This window comes from Homo sapiens, chromosome 8, assembly GCF_000001405.40.
Source record: "Homo sapiens chromosome 8, GRCh38.p14 Primary Assembly".
Taxonomy (NCBI): Eukaryota; Metazoa; Chordata; class Mammalia; order Primates; family Hominidae; genus Homo; species Homo sapiens.
This window is the reverse complement of record NC_000008.11, coordinates 129954584-129974262: the sequence shown is the minus strand read 5'-3', so window position 1 is coordinate 129974262 and position 19679 is coordinate 129954584. Positions and strand designations below refer to the sequence as shown.

At 44.5% G+C, this 19679-nt stretch overlaps 1 protein-coding gene across 63 annotated transcripts in view, besides 4 other annotated features; it reads left to right on the top strand.

The window, feature by feature from the left end:
* CYRIB (CYFIP related Rac1 interactor B) overlaps positions 1–19679 on the top strand; it is a 177537-nt gene that overhangs the window by 42867 nt on the left and 114991 nt on the right. For 52 of the 63 annotated variants that reach the window (NM_001353269.1, NM_001353270.1, NM_001353245.1 and 49 more), the window contains exon 2: positions 3268–3320. The exons of the other annotated variants lie outside the window; for them this stretch is intronic. Coding sequence is in view for 2 of the 52 variants with exons in the window: in XM_047421855.1 (XP_047277811.1) it covers positions 3268–3320 (53 nt within the window). In the remaining 50 variants the exon portion in view is untranslated. The remainder of the gene's footprint in view (positions 1–3267; positions 3321–19679) is intronic. 63 annotated transcript variants of the gene reach the window in all.
* Positions 2080–2139: an enhancer, noted in NCBI's record as "active region_27975". NCBI's record gives its function as "activates an Ori minimal core promoter by ATAC-STARR-seq in GM12878 lymphoblastoid cells {active_cell/tissue: GM12878}" and the evidence as "EXISTENCE:reporter gene assay evidence [ECO:0000049][PMID:35858748]".
* Positions 2160–2309: an enhancer, noted in NCBI's record as "active region_27974". NCBI's record gives its function as "activates an Ori minimal core promoter by ATAC-STARR-seq in GM12878 lymphoblastoid cells {active_cell/tissue: GM12878}" and the evidence as "EXISTENCE:reporter gene assay evidence [ECO:0000049][PMID:35858748]".
* Positions 11414–11614: a silencer, noted in NCBI's record as "peak7178 fragment used in MPRA reporter construct". NCBI's record gives its function as "represses an SCP1 promoter by STARR-seq MPRAs in K562 erythroleukemia cells {active_cell/tissue: K562}" and the evidence as "EXISTENCE:reporter gene assay evidence [ECO:0000049][PMID:32103011]".
* Positions 14642–15142: an enhancer, noted in NCBI's record as "H3K4me1 hESC enhancer chr8:130971367-130971867 (GRCh37/hg19 assembly coordinates)". NCBI's record gives its function as "activates a minimal SCP1, AML or CMV promoter by ChIP-STARR-seq in primed H9 embryonic stem cells {active_cell/tissue: H9 hESC(primed)}" and the evidence as "EXISTENCE:reporter gene assay evidence [ECO:0000049][PMID:30033119]".

Here is a 19679-nt window from a genome sequence, read left to right as displayed (position 1 = left end):
GGCAAGTCATATCATTCTTTTGGGCCTGAGGTTCTTTGTTGATAAAATGAGGGAATTAGACTAACATAGCTGTCAGTTTTCAAATTGGGATTCACAGGGCAGAGTCTCCTACAGAGTGCTGTGGGGAGGAGTGTTGGGTCGGCTGGATTCTGGGTCTCCTGCCTTGGCCTCAGACAGGCTGCCCTGTGGGTGGGTTCTGGGCAGTGCTCATTTTCAGGGAGGGGAATCAGTTTGATCTACTAGACATCAGGCATAGTACCGGGTGTGGGGGACACCAGGATGACCAAAACCTAGCATGAGCCCTCAGGTAGCTTAAAGCTTAAAGTCTCTTGGAGGAGACGGATAAGGACACAGAGAAATCCAGCCTTTCTCAGCTAGGTGAGGGACTGGGTGGGAGAAAGGAGGGAGTTGGTTAGAAGGCTAGTTGGGTATAAGAGCGCTGGGTGTTTTTTAATTTTTATTTTTATAGAGACAGGGTCTCACTATGTTGCCCAGGCTGGAATTGAACTCCAAGGCTCAAGTGATCCTCCTTTCTCAGCCCCTAGAGTAGCTGGGACTACAGGCGAGTATTTTTTAAAGAACTAAATGACAAATAGAGGACAGCTCCCTTCCCTGAGTCACTGTCTGGTCACTGCTGAGAGGAGACGAAAGAGGAAGGAGCAGGAGTCCACGTGAGGTGGTTGGGACTCCCCTTGTCCTCTGGAGCCGACTTCAGCATGCTGGTGAAAAGGCTGTCAGGGAAGGAGAGGACCTGGGCTCTCAGAAGATGATAGAATCTGCCTTGAGGGCTGGGAGGGACCTCAGGGGGGCACCTGGCCCAGGCGGGTAACCCTGGCAAGCCCACCCCTGACATACCGAGGCCCATCCCTCTTCCACCTCCTGTGCTTAACTGAATGGACCAGCAGTCTAACTTGCCAGCCTTTGCCTGTGCGGAGAGCTCTGCCTGGATCCCTTCCTGCCTCTGGCCAATTCTAACTTAACTTTTACTTCTCAGCTTCAGTATTACCTCCTTGGGGAAGTCTTTCTTCGATTATCCATCACTTTCCATCCCCTGCTGAGTTAATTAAATACCCTTTTCAGAGATTGCCTCATCCCCTTTCCTTCAGAGCGTTCATCTGCCTGTAATTGCTCCCCTAATCTTGGAGAGCTCCTGGGTGGCTGGGACGGTTTAATTCATGGAATTATTTCCATGGCCACAATGCTTGGCACACAATAGGTGATCAGTAGCTATTGAGTGAATGAGTGTCCTCACTTTATAACAGAAGTTAAGTGACTTGCCCAAGTCAGATGCTCCGAAAGACTGAGAAGGGATGAGACACATGCTATGAGGCTGAAGAGGAGGCGAGATCTGGTTTCTAGAGCTGTAGTCCAGGCTTTCTGCCTATAGCTTGGAAATGAAAAGAAGCCACACTTGTTTAGAGGCCCATGTTACTTCTATCAGAGCCACACTCTATGCCCTGGGTGTGCTGGGTGTGTGAGTGATGTGGGGTGTGTGTGTGTGGTGTGCATGTGCGTGGGGTATGTTCCTGGGATGTGTGTGGGGTGTGTGCATGGGATGTGTGTATGGTGTATGTGTGGTGTGTGTACATGGAATGAATGTGTGGTATGTGTGGAGTCTATGTGTGTACATAAGAGGACATAGTTTGTGAGTATGCAGTATGCTTAGATGGTTCTTTTTTTTATTTTCTTTGGAGACGGGTTGCTCTGTCACCCAGGCTGGAGCACAGTGCACATCATGGGTCACTGCAGCCTCGACCTCCTGGGCTCAAGTGATCCTCCTGTCTCAGCCTGCCAAGTAGCTGGGACTACAGGCATGTGCCACCACGCTCAGCTAATTTTTAAATTGTTTGTAGAGACGAGAGCTCCCTAAATTACTGGGCTCAAGTGATCCTCCCACCTCAGCCTCCTAAAATGTTAGGATTACGGGTGAGCCACCGTGCCTGGCCTAGATGGTTCTTAAATCCTCTTCTTGGCCACTGAGCAGTTCGGTGATTATTATTTAAAAGGGAATGTGAAACCACACTCATGCCATAGCAAGAAGAACGACAGAAAGAAAACCTACACTGGCAAACAAAAAGCTGCAAAAGCAGCCGAAGTGGCTGAAATTATCAGCAGATAGGGTTCTCTCTGGACAATTAGACATGGCCCCTAAACCTTTTGTGAATAAAACAAGGCTGGTTAAGTAGCTTCCGGTAGTTTCAGCACCCAATGAAAAGCAAAGAGAAAACACTAAGGCAGCTAAAGATTTAATCAGAATAAAGGCCAGAGAAAAAGTCATCCTGTTTCTCTTCCATTCAATAATAAGAGTGTCTAGACACTGCCGACTTTGCTCAGATCTTCACACTAACTGCTGGCTAATGCATTAAATGGGATGTTAACTGTGGTTTTATGAAACTTCTCTTTAATTCATCAGCTTTTGTTGCTGTAGGAGATTTTGGAGGGTGACAAGGCTGGCGTAATGTACCTGTTTGTGTTTCTTTCTCTGCAAAGTAGAAACCTGAAACAGGAAGTGATTCAGGGGACAGAATGACTAAGACCGTTTTAAACTCAAGTTGAACTGAGCATTTTGCTGGGACCAAGACTTGCTGCTGCAGCCAAGGGTCCCAATATCCTTTATACTGAATCTCCATGGATAGCGCTGGCCCCACCATATATGCTCCTAAGGACAACACAGTCCAGCCAAACTGTCCTTCAGTCATAGGAGTTTGGTTTAGGTCTTTGTTCTTTACTTGCTGTGCAACCTTCAGCAAATTATTCAACTTCTCTGAATGTTTATTTATTTGTAATATACCAGACTATTTTGAGCATTAAATGAGAAAACTGTTTGCAAAACAATTCAGTGATATAATGGACTGTACAAATGCTATCTGGGGCTGGGTGCGGTGGTTCATGCCTGTAATTCAGCACTTTGGGAGGTCAAGGCTGGTGGATCACTTGAGGTCAGGAGTTCAAGACCAGCCTGGCCAACATGATGAAACCCTGTCTCTACTAAAAATAAAAAATATTAGCCAGGCATGCTTGCTTGAACCTGGGAGGCAGAGGTTGCAGTGAGCCGAGATCGTGCCACTGCACTCCAGCCTAGGCGACAGAGCAAGACTATGTCTTAAAAACAAACAAACAATCAAACAAACAAATGCTATTTGGAGTTGTTATTCCCAAACTGTACCTCTACTATGGGAAAAAAACAATAGCTAGGATTTACCGGGGGCTTTCTGTGTACTGAGAACTGTTGTAACTTGCTTAATCCTTGCTATAACTCTTTTACAGGAGAAGAAACTGAGGCCTGGAATTTGATTAACTCATTCAAGGTTACCCAGTTGGTAAGTAACAGAGCTGGAATTTGACCATGGTCATCTGGCTCCAGAGCCAGCACTCTTAACCACACTTCCTATGAGGAAAAATTAAAGTGGATGGTGATGGCTACAAGATGGATTTCAGTTGCATAGAAATAAGAACCTCCTACCTCTGTTGAAATCAGAATACATATACACCCCTTCATTCACTCTATGAATATTCATTCATTCCATGAACCTACAAGGTTTTTAGGTCAAATTATTAGTTTAAATAAGAACTATAGGCTGGGCGCAGTGGCTCACACCTGTAATCCCAACACTTTGGGAGGCTGAGGTGGGTGGATCACTTGAGGTCAGGAGTTCAAGACCAGCCTGGCCAACATGGTGAAATCCCGTCTCTACTAAAAATACAAAATTTACTAAAAATACTAAAAATACAAAATACTCACTTGAACCCAGGAGGCGGAGGTTGCAGTGAGCTGAGATTGCGCCGCTGCACTCCAGCCTGAGTGACAGAGCAAGACTCCGTCTCAAAAAAAAAAAAAAAAAAGAAAGTCAGTGCTCTTAACTAATGTAGTCTTGTCAACCCTATAAGGGCCTTCACGGAAAACCATTGACTCTTGGAGCCTGGGTGCCCTCTGTCTGTGACAGTGCACTTCCCTTTTCTACTTCTTTTTTCCCCCGGTTTCCTAGACTCCCAACTATCCTCACTGGTGAGGCTTAACCATAGGATGGGGACCTTTGGCAAAATACTGTACAGCCATTTCTACGTAGGCGTGCTTTTAACTTTTATTTTAATCGAGCTATCTTACATGCTGTAAAATGCACAAATCTTAATCGTACAGCTTGGTGAAATTTTGATATGTTACACCCATCTAATCACCACCCAAATCAGGATATACAATATTTCTAGAAAGGTCCCTCATGCCCTTTGCACTTAGTGTTGCCCCAGAGATAAGCACTATTCTGACGTCTGTCAACATAGATTCATGCTTCCACCTTGGCCGTATCCAAATATACTTGCTCAACAAAAGCAAAAGGATAAAACACCACTTTAAATAGTGTAGGTGATCCTGTCATTCCACCCAATGGGCGTCTCTCTTGGAGTGGGTGTGAATGGCAGACATGGATCTGCTATTCCGTCTGTTGGTCATTTGTTCTCATGGCTTTTTAGGATGTGAGCATCTTGTGCCACCAAATATGTTTCTCATATTTATGGATTTTAATTATCACACAACATGGCCCCTAAATCTAAGCCAGTTATTACATATGGTGCCCAACCCTAAGAAACCAAATCCAGTGCTGAAGGAAAGACTGGCTGTGTTGGACTTCATGAAAGATGGTTTGTTTGTCTCCAACCTGAGACCTTATTGTGGGATTTTTCAAGGGGAATTTTGGCTTCTTTCAATTTTCACACAACATGCTGGCTTCAGAAGCTAACCCTTGAGTAGATACAATTTTAATGTGGGCAGAACTCAAGTGTGGATAAGTGGTTATATTAAATTTAGTGACCTGGAATACTTCTGGCAGCATGGTGGACTAAGCTGACTTGTGTGAGTCCTTCCTGGTATGAATACAGAATTGATGGAAATATAAGAATTTTATCTAGGGGAGCGCTGAAGAAAGGGAAACCTGCAAATGTCAAAAATGAGGATAGGCCGGCCGCGGTGGCTCACGCCTGTAATCCTAGCACTTTGGGAGGCCAAGGCAGGCAGATCCCTTGAGGTCAGGAGTTCCAGACCAGCCTGGCCAACATGGCGAAGGCCTGTCTCTACTGAAAATACAAAAATCAGCCGGGTGTGGTGGCGCATGCCTGTAATTCCAGCTACTCAGGAGGCTGAGGCAGGAGAATTGCCTGAACCTGGGAGGGGAAAGTTGCAGTGAGCAGAGATTAAGCCACTGCACTCTAGCCTGGGCGACAGAGCAAGAATCCACCTCAAAAAAAAAAAAAAAAGGAGGACAAATTTAAGCTAAATGGTGGCATGTGAGCTGAAGCCATGACTACTCCTGGGGCTTTTGCACAGAAGCTATAGAGCCTGAGGGCCAAAGTTTTAATGGCACGGTGGCTCTAGGAAGGAGGCCTGGACTCAAGGTGGAATTGAGTGCTCTGGAGCCTTGAAGGTCTGACTTTTTCATGAAAAGGGGCTAGAAAAACTTCAATACTTGGAGAAATAGAGAGGAAGCTTGACTTGACTGGAAAAAAAGTTACCAGCAAGAACTTAAACACATGGGATTGTACTATATATGGTTGTGGAATCTGTATTTTTTATTACTTATGAGGTATGAGACCCTTCAACCTGAAAAATTAACGTAAGAACTGGTCTAGTACCATGGAAACCTCTACTGCGAACGCAAAGTCATTCCATAGGCATATTTCAACAACCTATACCTAACAGCACTCCCACAGTGAGAATGACCTCTGAAGACGAGTTCACAATGAAAAACTATATTCAGGAAACCATTCCAAGTTGGAAATAATAAAACCATTTATAAGAGACTATAAAAATGGTATATTTAAAATGATTAAGATGTCTTAGTTTAGGTTCACAAGAAAAAAGAAATAAAATGATTAAGAACTAAGGATGATATAAAAAATGTAAAGAAAGATGGAAAAAGAATAGGTTGACTTGAAGAGCAGCTGAATTGAAAGGAAAAATAATCATTAAAATTGAAATCCAACAAAAGAGTTAAATGACAGATTAGACATAGCTAAAGAGAGAATTAATGAGCTGAGCTGAGAGACGATGACAGTTAAAATTTGTTAAGTGCATAGTACATGCCATTGTTCTGTGTACTTTATTTGCATTAATTCATTTACTCCTTAGAACAAAATTATGAGGAGGCATTATGATCATCTGAATTTTATAGACAAATAAACTAAATAGCAGTTTAAGCCACTAGCTCATGGTCACATAGCTGGTAAGTGATGGATCTGGGATTTGACTCCAGGCTGTCTTGGGTAGCCTTGGGTCTGTGTTTGCAAGTATTATACTATGGGAAATCACCAAGAGTAGGCACTAAGCGATAAAGAGATGGGTATATGAAATAATGGTGAAGAAGTATCAATGGCACTACTTACATCTACATAGAGGGACTAAGGGAGAGGCAGTATTAGAAGACGTAAGGATTAGATGTCCTTTCAGACATCTTCCAATCCTTAGGTTCCAAGAATTTGTGACCAGGTCACCATTGAGGGCAAAATATTCAAAGGAGGGTGGTATACCCTCAGTTTTCACTGTAGTCTACATTGGTGTGCTGGTAAATGTTTACAGTGATTTAAAAAGGAAAGAAAGCCGGGCACGGTGGCTCACGCCTGTAATCCCAGCACTTTGGGAGGCTGAGGCAGGCGGATCATGAGGTCAGGAGATCGAGACCATCCTGGCTAACAGGGTGAAACCCCGTCTCTACTAAAAATACAAAAAATTAGCCGGGCATGGTGGCAGGCGCCTGTAGTCCCAGCTACTCGGGAGGCTGAAGCAGGAGAATGGCGTGAACCTGGGAGGTGGAGTTTGCAGTGAGCCGAGATCGCGCCACTGCACTCCAGCCTGGGCGACAGAGCAAGACTCCATCTCAAAAAAAAAACAAAAAAACAAAAAAACAAAACAAAACAAAACAAAACCAAAGAAAAGAAAAAGAAGAAAGAAAAGAAAAGAAGCCCTAATTTGTAGCATTTGCTGATTCCTATGGTGTAAATACTTCCACCATGACCAGTTTCAAGCTACCAACATGATGCCACTGAACACGGAGTTTGGAAGAAATGAACATGGTTAGGACTCTTGAGTCAGTATAGCCACCTTCAGAACACCACTGCCTTTGGCATTCATTTTATTTTAAACTCTGTTTGTTGTTGTTTTTTTATTTTTGAGGTAGGGCCTCGCTCTGTTGCCCAGGCTTGAGTGCAGTGAAGTGATTATGGGCCACTGCACTAATTTTTTAAAAAACACTCATGGATAATTTTTAAAAAAATTTATTTTTGTCTGTGCTTGGTGGCTTATGCCTGCAATCCCAGCATTTTGAGAAGCCAAGGTGGGAGGATCACTTGAGCTCAGGAGTTTAAGACCAGCCTGGGCAACATGGCGAAACCCTGTTTCTACAAAAAAAATATAAATTAGCTGGGTGTGGTGGTATGCACCTGTATTCCCAGCTACCTGGGAGGCTGAGGTGGGAGGATTGTTTGAACCCAGGTGGCAGTGAGCCAGAATTGGTCCTCTGCACTCCAGCCTGGGCCATGGAGTGAGGCCCTATCTAAAAATAATTAATTAAAAATTTAAAAATAAAGTAAAATTTATTTTTTATAGAGGCTGGTCTTGAATTCCTGGACTCAAGTGATCCTCCTGCCTTGGCCTCCCAAAGTGCTAGGATTACAGGCATGAGCCACTGCGCCTGGCCTTTTTTAAACTTTGATCTCTGGGTTTTGCATCCAGGTGTGGAATTTTTAAGAAGTAGTCATGTCATTAATGATATCACAGGGGCAAGAAGAGACAATGGGACAAGAGTGAGCTCTGCCTTTCTTCTTTTGTATTTAAAAACAAAACAACCTTTTGTGACTGTGGTTGGAGAAACAGGCATACTCATTCTACTACTGATGAGAGTGAAAATTAGTACAACTTCTTTGGAGGGCCATTTGGCACCATTCTGAGTGCACATACCCTCTGATCCTGCAATTCTGCTTCAAGGATTTTCTCTTATAAATTCTATGTTTCCTATAGTTATAAATGTGTGTGAAGATGCATGTAACATATACTCATTGCAGCATTGCTAGTAATAGAAAGACTGTGGAAGCAACTTAATGTATGTCAATAAGGAATTGATTTAGGCTGGGCGCATTGGCTCATGCCTATAATCAGCACTTTGGAAGCCGAGGTAGGCAGATCACTTGAGGCCAGGAGTTTGAGACCAGCCTGACCAACATGGTAGAAACTGTGTCTCTACCAAAAAATACAAAAATTAGCTGGGTGTTGTGGCCCACACCTGTATGTAATCCCAGTTACTCGGGAAGCCGACGTAGGAGAATAGCTTGAATCTGGGAGGCGGAGGCTGCAGTGAGCCGAGACTGCACCACTGCACTCCAGCCTCGGTGACAAGAGCAAGACTCTGCCTCAAAAAATGAACAAACAAAACTCCAAAAAACAAAAAGTAGCGAATTGATTGAATGTATATTCTTTTTTTTTTTTGAGACAGAGTCTTGCTCTGTCGCCCAGGCTGGAGTGCAGTGGCGCGATCTCAGCTCACTGCAAGCTCTGCCTCCTGGGTTCATGCCATTCTCCTGCCTCAGCCTCCCAAGTAGCTGGGACTACAGGCACCCACCACCACGCCCGGTTAATTTTTTGTATTTTTAGTAGAGACAGGGTTTCACCGTGTTAGCCAGGACGGTCTCGATCTCCTGACCTTGTGATCCGCCCGCCTCGGCCTCCCAAAGTGCTGGGATTACAGGCGTGAGCCACCGCGCCCGGCCTGAATGTATATTCTTAAAGTGGATTGCTCCGCCATTGTTTAAAATAGTAGGTCATATCTGCTAAGAAGGAATGATTTTCAGGATATATTCTTAAGTTTAAGAATAAAGCAATTTGCAGGAAAGTATATGTGGTATGCTGCCAGATGTAGGAAAACAAGAAGAGGGTATAAGTGTTTATACACACCCACCCACACACATACTCATGCTTGATTATGCCTGGGCGATTGCTGGAAGGACACACACACACACACACACACACACACACAGTGTCTGGGGGAATTCTGTATATCTCTTGGAAAAGCTTAGGGGATTGTGGGTCTTGGGTGGGTGGAAGATATCCTGCTATGTGTCCTTTTATGTTTCTTTGAATGTTTATAGAGGAGATTTGGCAGGTCCCCTTGGTGGGGTTGCATATGCCCCATGGGAAACCAACATTTATTGAGCATTTGCCAAGCAACAGGCAGTTCCCTGTGTTATCTGCTCACAGGTAAGACAGATCACACGGGTAAGGATGTGAGGAGGTGTCCTCACACATCCATAACACTGGAGTTCTCTCCATTGCCTGCTGATACCTGGACTACAGAGCTGCCCAGTAAATGTGTGATAAATGACAAATCTCATTTTCTTTTCCTTTTTCTTTATTTCTTTGGAGGCAGACTTTTGCTTGACTACCCAGGCTGAAGTGCAGTGGCACGATCACGGCTCACTGCAGCCTCGACCTCCCAGGCTCAGCCTCCTGAGTAGCTGGGACTACAGGCATGTGCCACCACGCCTGGCTCACTTTTTTCATTTTGTAGAGACAGGGGCCTCCCTATCTTGCCCAGGCTGGTCTTGAACTCCTGGGCTCAAGTGATCCTCCTGACTTGGCCTCCCAAAGTGCTGGGATTACAGGTGTGAGCCACTGTGCTTGGCCCGATAATCCCATTTTCAAGAAAATGGATGGTACCTTTGTTGTGCAAAGTCCTGTGGCATGCAGGTAGAGGAAGGGAAATTCCATGACGGCCTGCAAGGTGTTTTGGAAACGGGTAACCCAGCTGCTTCATAGAAATCTGAGTTATCTGAGAGGCATCTTAACTTCGTCTCTCCTGACACTAGTCCCTGGCACCTCTCTTGAGTCCACATGGAAGTATTCAGTCAGTACTAATTTTTCCAACTGTAAGATTCTTTGTTCTGGAAAGCTGTAGCTTGTGTTTCTGGACCACATGAATTGCTGATGTGTTTAGAAACAATAAAGGCAAGGAGAATTTGTCCTGCGATGTCCTCGTTTCCTGAATTATTTTATCTTTACAACTTTCCCGTTGAGTATGCATCATCAAAGGACTAAGAGACACCAGCTTCTGTTCACTTAAAAAGACTGACCTTTAGGGGCCTTTCTTCTCAAAACAGATGTTCCCAGAGGTGCTTTTTATTGTTGTTATTGTTGTTTTCTGCAATCAGCCACATTTCTAACCCATCAGGAAATGTTTTATAGAACCAGAGACTTTCTCTCTTCCCCTTCCCTTGATCATCTGGAAATAAATTCAGTAAGTAGGTTATTCATCTTGAAAGGGCTGTTTTGATGCTGTTGTGATGTGATCAGCACACAAATGGACAAGAAATCCAAATGGTCAAGAAGGATGGAATGAAAATTTAAGCGTATGGAATCAAAATCACAAAAACTGACCTGGGTAGTATTTAAGAGCGTTCCATTATCTGCACAATTCAGATGAAACACTTGCAAGTGAGAGTTATTTGACCTTAGCACTTTGCTGGTCTCTTGAGACAGTATTTTGTAGGCTCAGAGAGAGCTGTTAAGAGCTTTAAGTATCATCGCCCTTCTGTGCAACGTGGGATGTAATGGTTTTAGTTTACTGTAAGATGAATGTGAATCAACAGTGTTATCTGACTCCTCCAACTAGTAATTCCATCTTCACTGCCTGAATAGAGAGAGGGAATAGGTTTAATCGCCATTGCTCTGTGAGGCCTTCCTGGACCCAGGTGCTTTGCTGTGCTCATATTGCACTGTGTAGTATTTAATTAAAGCAGTTATCTTATTGGCTTTAAATAGCTGTAATTGTTTGTGGCTGTCTCCACATCAGCCTGTGAGTGCCTGGAAGGATGGTATGGATCACCTTGCTTCATCTGTGTATAGCCAGCATGCAGCATACACCACAGCACTTCGGATTTCATTAGTCAGGATTCTGTCGACCTTGAAACAGAATCTCGCCTCGAACTGGCTTCCGCAGAAAGGGGATTTGTTGGTTTATGTAATTGAAGAATCTAGGAGTGAAACATAAGGCCTGGAGGATCCAAGGCTTAAAGTGTTGCCAAGGCTTACACAGTTTTTCACCATCTTTAACGCTGCCTCCCTTTTCTTGTGGATTGTGGTCCAAAATGGTTGTCAGCGGTTCTAGCAGGAGGTAAAAAAAGGCCACTGTTCCAGTAGTTCAACAAGTCTTAGAACTGAGTCCAACTGTCTTTCTGATTGGTCTTTTCTGGGTAACATGCACAGCCCTGAACCAATCGCTGTGGCAGGCAAATGCGACGCTCTGATTGGCCATCTTGGATCAAATGCCCTCCCCCTGAGGGAGATTGGGTGCAGCTTGCACCTGCTCAGGTACAGAGACTGAGAATGAGGGAAAGATTGCAGGTTTCCAGGGAAATGCGGGTACCGTTTGTGAATGGTGGGTAGGCAAAAGCCAAGGATGTCCAATATAGTAGGTTTTTAATCAGTGTTTACTCAGTGAATGAATTAACAGATGAATGAGCAAACAGGAGCGTGCTGCTGATTCTGCGAGCTGGTTATGCAATACCCCGAGTGGGGTTTTAACAGATGGAGACTTTGCAGAGGGGAGGGATAGAAGAGGGCTCTGAAATCAAGTCATTTAAGGATACCATTAAATTAGCTGAAATATTTAACAAGAAATAGGAGACAGGGGAGACATATGATAGCTGTTTCCAAACGTAAAGGGCATTCATAGGGAAGGGACATTTTCTGGGTCCCTATTTTATGCCATAGATGCTGGGCTAGACACTTTAATTGACATCACCCCACGTTTATTTTTATTTTAATTTATGTTATTTCATTTTTTTGAGACAAGGCCTTGCTCTGTGGCCCAGGTTGGTGTGCAGTGGTATGATTCTAGCTTACTGCAGCCTCAGTCTCCCAGGCTCAAGCAATCATCCTGCCTCCCTCCTGAGTATCTGGGACTACAGGCACACATCACACCTAGCTAATTTTTTTTCTTTTTCTGTCCTTCTTTCTTTTGTTCTTTCTTTCTTTCTTTTTTTTTAAACAGGGTTTCACTCTGTTGCCCAGGCTGGAGTGCAGTGGCGCAATCATGGCTCACTGCAGCCTTGACTTCCCAGGCTCAGGTGATCCACCTCAGCCTCCCCGAGTAGCTGGGACCACAGGCAAGCAGCACCATGCGTGGCTAATTTTTTGTATGTTTAGAGAAGGGGTCTCCCATGTTGCTCAGGCTGGTCTTGAACTCTTGGGCTCAAGCCATCCTCCCACCTCGGCCTCCCAAAGTGCTGAGATTACAGGCACAAGCCACTGCATCTGGCCGCAATTAAAAAATTTTTATTTAATCTTGATAATTGTGTTTGTTAAAGAAACTAGCTCAGAGAGTTTAGGAACTTGCCCGAGGTCATAGGCCTGGGCTCTGACAAGGCCAGAATTCAGTCTAGGTCTGCCAGTTTCAGAAGCCCCTTGCATTGCCTGGTATTTGATTTAGCTGCTGCATAGCCAGCAGACTGTACTAAATAATAGGGTTTTGCCATAGTTCTCTTCTGAGATCTTGATTTCATCAATATTTGTTTATCCACTCATTCATCTTCACTCATGTACTCAGGAAATATTCCATTGATTGCCTACCTGGGTACCAGAGATGGACTAGTGAATGATTCAAGCCCCTGCCCTCTTGGAGCTTACAGTCTGGCCAAGTTCCATATTACTTCTAAACGGTTAAATGACAGCCTCTAAGGTTGTACAGATCTATGATAATGGGAGTTGCACTAGTCCCACCCCTCTGTAAGGAGGCAACCAGCAAAACCAAGAAGCTGGATGGCCCAGTTTTATCTATGCTGTCTGCCTAGGATGCTGCTCCTAAAGGGACTGATGGATATTGAGGTATGGGAGGCTTAGGGTGTGCCTCACCTGTTCTCATCCTCCCAGGGCTGGCTCTGCTGGGTGATCTGGGCTGTGTCCCACCACTCTGTCCATATGATGACTCCCGTTTCTGAACCCCAGAGCAGAACCCATGGAATGAAGTAGGGTTAGCTGAACAGGGGGGAAATAAATATTTCTTGAATGAGACCTCCCCCTGGTTCTTTGACATGGCTCCTCCTGCCCAGGGAAATAGGTATTATTGTCTCCATTTTTCAGGGGAAGAAGCCGAGGCTTATTTAGAGTCACGATTTGAGCCCAGCCCTGTCTGATGGCTCCAAAATCATATGGGCTTCCTCTTGACCCTCCTTTGATCCAGGTAGGTCTGGGGAGTAGGGCTTTCAAAGCTTCTGAAATGTGAGGTGATTGGTAAGTTTCCTAGTTTCTTTCTTTCTTTCTTTCTTTTTTTTTTTTTTTTGAGACTGAGTCTTGCTCTGTCGCCCAGGCTGGAGTGCAGTGGCATGATCTTGGCTCACTGCAACCTCCGCCTCCCGGGTTCAAGCAATTCTCCTGCTTCAGCCTCCTGAGAGCTGGGGTTACAGGTGCGTGCCACCATGCCCAGCTAATTATTGTATTTTTAGTGGAGATGGGGGTTTCACCATGTTGGTCAGGCTGGTCTCGAACTCCTGACCTTGTGATCCGCCTGCCTCGGCCTCCCAAAGTGCTGGGATTACAGGCATGAGCCACCATGCCCAGCCTTTTTTTTTTTTTTTTTTTTCTTGAGACAGAGTCTCGCTCTGCCGCCCAGGCTGGAAAGCAGTGGCTTGATCTTGGCTCACTGCAACCTCTGCCTCCCAGGTTTAAGCGATCGATCTTGGCTCACTGCAACCTCTGCCTCCCAGGTTTAAGCGATTATCCTATTCTCCTGCCTCAGCCTCCTGAGTAACTGGGATTACAGGTGCCCGCCACCATGCCCAGCTAATTTTTGTATTTTTAGTAGAGGCGGGGTTTCGCCATGTTGGCCAGGCTGGTCTCAAACTCCTGACCTCAGGTGATCCACCCACCTTGGCCTCCCAAAGTGCTGGGATTACAGGTACGAGCTACTGCGCCTGATCGTGATTTGTTAAGTTTCATTTCATTCATTTATTTTAAAAAGTACTTAAGGAGGGCCTGTGTACAGAAACTCTGTTTGGCCCTGGGTGACCAAGATTGACCAGGGTTTCTGCTCCCAGGGAACTTAAAGTCTGAGTTAAATAATTGGAAGTGTGCAGTCTTTCATTCAGTGATTTATTCAGCCATGCACCAGGATGTATCAGTTAGATGCTTTGAATTGCAAGTGTCATAAATCCCAGTTCAAATGGGATAATTGATAAAAGCAGTTAAGTGGCTCACATAACCAAAAATTGTAGAGGTAGGATAGGTCAGGGCTCCGTCTTCCTTTCCTTAAGATCCTCCCAGCTCTGTACTTCTGTCTGTGGGCTCTTCTCAGATTGACTTCCTTCATAGTCGTGAGAGAAAAGAGCTACCATCTCTCCCTAGAGCCACTGAACAAACTTCCTGAACTTTGTCCTGATTGGATCATTTCAGGACATGCATTCATCTTTCAATTAATTGTGGTGGGAAATGGGATAATACTGATTGGCTTAGACCATTCAGGACCTGCCCTTGGAATTGGAGGTAAGGTGTGCCTGACTGAAGAATGCCTCTTGATGGGGAAGGAGTGGAGTAGATGTGGTAGGATTGGCGTACAAAGATGGGTAAAAGTATTATCTCTTATTAGACACTCACCTTTTTCTTATTTTTTAAAATATTAATAATAGAGATGGGGTCTTGCTAAGTTGCCCAGTCTGGTCTCAAACTCCTGGGTTCAAGCCATCCTCTCACCTCAGCCTCCTAAAGTGCTGGGATTACAGGCGTGAGTCATCACACTGGACCAGAAACTCACCTTCTCTAGTACGGTTCCTGAGAAGGGCATTCACCTAGTCTTAATTGAATGCTAGGTACTCTACATGTATTTTTCAGAGTAAATTCTCATAATGTCCTTGTCAAATAAATAAATATTTCCAGTTTGCAGATGAGGAAACAAGTTCAGAGAGCTGGAGTTGCTTGCAGGCAGTCACACACCACACACACCTAGGAAGCAAGTAGTGGGGTGTGGCTGTGGCTGTGGCTGGGGCTGCTACACTACTTCCTCTGCTTTTTTGTGATGGGGGTAGAGAAAATAAATTGTTAATAGAGACCTAAAAAGATTTGTTGAATGACTTTTCTACAATAAGCAGGGCCTTGGGAGTAGTTACTGCTTTTCATTTCAAGCTTTTATTAGAGAAATCCTGCCTGCCTTTGTTTTTTTTTTTTTTTTTTTTTTTTTGAGACAGAGTCTCTGTTGCCCAGGCTGGAGTGCAGTGGCATGATCTCGGCTCACTGCAATCTCTGCCTCCCAGATTCAAGCAATTCTCTGCCTCAGCCTCCCGAGTAGCTGGGATTACAGGCGCCCGCCATCACAGCCGGCTAATTTTTGTATCTTTAGTAGAGACGGGGGTTTCACCATCTTGGCCAGGCTGGTCTTGAACTCCTGACCTCGTGATCCACCCGCCTCAGCCTCCCAAAGTGTTGGGATTACAGGCGTGAGCCACTGCTCCCGGCCTCTTTTTTTTTTTTTTTTTTAAACCAGTGGTAGATGGGAGGAAAACTCTGCTTCCAGGTTCAGGTAAATAACAGAAATTGAATGAGCTCGAGAGAAAAAGCAGAACCATTGTCAACTGACAATGTCTCCAAAGAGATGATTGCATCAGATAATTTCACAGAAATGGTTTCTCTCCCCTTTTGACTTTTCTGCCCGAGGCTGCCATTAGGTTTTAAAGTAATAGAGTAGCTATTATGTAATTGTATACAATGCTTCCTTCCCTTGGGCCCATGTTAACTTGTGCCTTCAAAATACAGAATACAGTTTTTTTGGTAAAGAGTTTATGTAAAGCCAGTGTGATTCCTAAATTAAACTGCCAAAATGAGGGCAAACAAGCTGGGTTTTCTGGTTTTCTCCAGATTCTGCAGAGACGTAACATCCGACAGATCAGGAAGATGATTTGCCAAAAGTCATTTGTGTGCTGGTGCAGAATGTTTTCACACTGCTCTGCCCCCAGTGTGTGTGTACACACTTCACTGCCCAGTGGAAAGGCTCTTTTTTCTTCATAGGTCCCCCAACCTCACCTACTTCCATTCCACCCCAGCAGATACAATTTTATCCAGGGAGAAATTAATATTTTTTTTCCCCAGAGACAGAGTCTCACTCTTTGCCCAAGCTGGAGGGCAGTGGCACGATCTTGGCTCACTACAACCTCCATCTCTCGGGTTCAAGCGATTCTCATTCCTCAGCCTCCCAAGTAGTTGGGATTACAGGCGTGTGCCACTTGGCTAATTAGCTTGGCTAATTTTTTGTATTTTTTGTATTTTTTTTTTTTTTTTTGAGATGGAGTCTCGTTCTGTCGCCCAGGCTGGAGTGCAGTGGCGCGATCTCGGCTCACTGCAAGCTCTGCCTCCCAGGTTCACACCATTCTCCTGCCTCAGCCTCCTAAGTAGCTGGGACTATAGGCACCCGCCACTATCCCTGGCTAATTTCTTGTATTTTTAGTAGAGACGGGGTTTCACCATGTTAGCCAGGATGGTCTTGATCTCCTGACCTCATGATCCACCTGCTTCGGCCTCCCAAAGTGCTGGGATTACAGGCATGTGCCACCACGCCGGCCAATTTTTTTTATTTTTAGTAGAGATGGGGTTTCACCATGTTGGCCAGGCTGGTCTGGAACACCTGACTTCAAGTAATCCGCCCACCTCCACCTCCCAAAGTGCTGGGATTACAGGTGTGAGCCATCGTGCCGGCAATAAAAAAATTTGAAATTCAAATGGTGGTTGGTGACAAGTTGATAAATAAGGTTTTCAGCTTAGATGCTGTGCTTTTTGAGTTCTTGTGTCTGCTTTTCTTCTAGGTTATTACTGATGATAACTGATTTAACTATCCAAATTTCTACCACATTGTGTGCTGTGTTTTAAGTCTTGGGGACAGAGAATTGAGCAAAGTACAGCCTTAAGTACTGATAGCCTTTAGTGGCCTTCTTCTAACCAGATTTCCCCTAAGTCTGTCCACATTGGTGTCATCTTTGGGTGCTGATTTACTCTGGGCCAGGCAAACTTTACCTGGACTTGGGGAAAGGTATGAAGTAGAAGAAAATAGAACATGAGAAAGGTCTGAGGATAAAATGCAGAGGCTTAGGCCATGCACAGTGGCTCATGCCTGTAATCTCAGCATTTAGGGAGGCTGTGGTGGGAGGATTGCTTGAGCCCAGGAGTTTGAGGTCAGTCCTAGCAACACAGCAAGACCCTGTGTCTACACACACAAAAAGAAAATAGAAAAGAAAAGAACAAAAATCAGCCAGGCACAGTCGTGTGTGTCTGTAGTCCCAGCTACTTGGGAGTCTGAGGTGGGAGGATCACTGGAGCCCTGGAGGTCAAGGCTGCAGTGAACCATGGTCATGCTACTGCACTCCAGCCTGGGTGACAGAGCAAGAGCCAAGAAAGAAAGAAAGAAAGAGAGGCTGGGGGGAGGGAGGGAGGGAGGAGGGAGGAAGGAAGGAAGGAAAAATAGGCTTAAATGTCAAGTAAAGACTGAAAAAGAAAAAAGAATAGGCTTAACTGTCAGGTAAAGACCAGAAAAACAGGGCTTCTGGGCTCATTGTGACCCTGCAGGGGTGATCAATTGGTTTTCATTAGGGATGAGATTCAGGGGCTCTGTTACCACAGCATAACCCAGCTCACCCTAAGTGATATAACCACTACTGTCATACAGGGAGCATGATTCATGGAACTTGGGAGCAGGTGTGTGTGTGTGTGTGTGTGTGCAAACACAAAGACATGTATGTGTATATATGAATCTTGCTGCCTCTTGAGGCTGGTTTCCAAACTTGTCTACACTTTGGAATCACCTGGCAATCTTTTAAAATCCCAAGCCTAAGGTCATACACTAGATGAATTACTTCATAGACTCTAGGGGTGGGACACAAGCATTAGTTTTTTTAAGCTCTCCAGATGATTCTAATGTTCAGGACAAGTTAAGTTCAGGAATCACTGCTCTGTGAGAATTATAATATCATTATTATTATTATTTGAGAAGGGGTGGGGATAATGGAAGTGACAATGGTAGTAGCCATCATTATTATTTACTGGCTGCTACCTATATGCCAGGCAGCATTCTCGATGTTTTACAAAGATAATCACTTCTGATTCTCACTGCGCTCCACGAGACAGTTTTGTAGGTGGTTGGAGAAGGAAAGGAGAGGGTCATATCTTTCAAACTTATGTAAGCCACAGAGTTGGCTAACCAGATTGTCAGGTGAAAATGAGAAAGATGGGGCTGCTGGGCTTACCTTCTTGACCCCAGAGGGACCATTGTGGTCATCCTTAGGGCTGAGATTTAGGTGTTCTTTGTTACCACAGCATAACCTATCCCATCCCGATGGATGCAACCATCCTTTTAATAACCACAGTGGATTCAGGCATTGGTGCTTAGAAGCACATTTTGCAACATTATAAATTGAGGGTGAGTTTATTTTGGCTTGTGGCTTGGAAGGAGAAAAGAGTGCAGTAAACCAGGCTATTAATCTTGGGTTTGTTGGTTCATCCATCAACACCGCTTTGTATGTGTCTCAAGGAATCAGATTTAATAAATTAATAAAATGCTATCTTGTGTTTTTGTAGCACTTTTCTCAATGGAATACACAGTGCTATGCAAACCTCTTACTGTTGTTGGTCTTTTTGATACACCGTAGAACGCTTGTAAGAGGTAAATAGGGCTGTTACCATAAGGTAAAATGAGGAAATAAGTTACCTTGAAATGCTTATCTAATATCTCTATAGATTTCCGACGTCTGTAGAGATTTCTGATGGGAGCCTCGATGTGTAGGTAGGAGTTTGGTGCGGAAACGTGGGAGTGTTGTGGAAGGTGTTCCTAGCAGAGGTGGAACAGCAAGAAACAGTATTTACATGAACTCTGTAAGCAGCTTAGTGTTGTGACCGAGAAAGATACCATTCCTTGCTATTATGGGTGACTGGAAAATCTCAGAAAGCCTGCATTTCCACTTATTTCTTCATCATGCAGCACATACTTTTTTTTTTTTTTTTTTTTGAGACGGAGTTTTGTTCTGTCACCCAGGCTGGAGTGCAGTGGCACGATCTTGGCTCACTGCAACCTCCGCCTCCTGGGTTCAAGTGATTCTCCTGCCTCAGCCTCCCAAGTAGCTGGGACTACAAGTGTGCACCATCACGCCCAGCTAATTTTGTGTTTTTAGTAGAGACGGGACTTCACCATGTTGGCCAGGCTAGTTTCAAACTCCTAAACTCAAGTGATCCGCCTGCCTCAGCTTCTCAGAGTGCTGGGATTACAGGTGTCAGCCACCGCGTCCGGCCACAGCACATACATCTTCTAACATTTTGCAATGGTGGAAGAGATTTGTGTGTTGTGTGTAGTAAGGGCCAAATAAGGACAGCAATTAATTTACCTACTTTTACCCTGAAAGATCACACCAGATACCATACCAAATGTTGCACACTGCTTATTAGTATAGATATTTCACAGGACTTTACTGATGCCTCAGTGATGTAGACTAACCTTTGGAAATAAAGACAGTATAGACATAAATCCCTCTAATCTTCCCCCTGGGTCCAGAGTTCATGACTGGGGGATCGTGCCCCTAGACAAGTTCCTTAACCACTTGGGCCCTGCATTTTCATAAGCAAAAATATTAGATTGAAGGTGAATTCCAAAGTTTTTCCCATTTCTAAAATTAGTTCATTT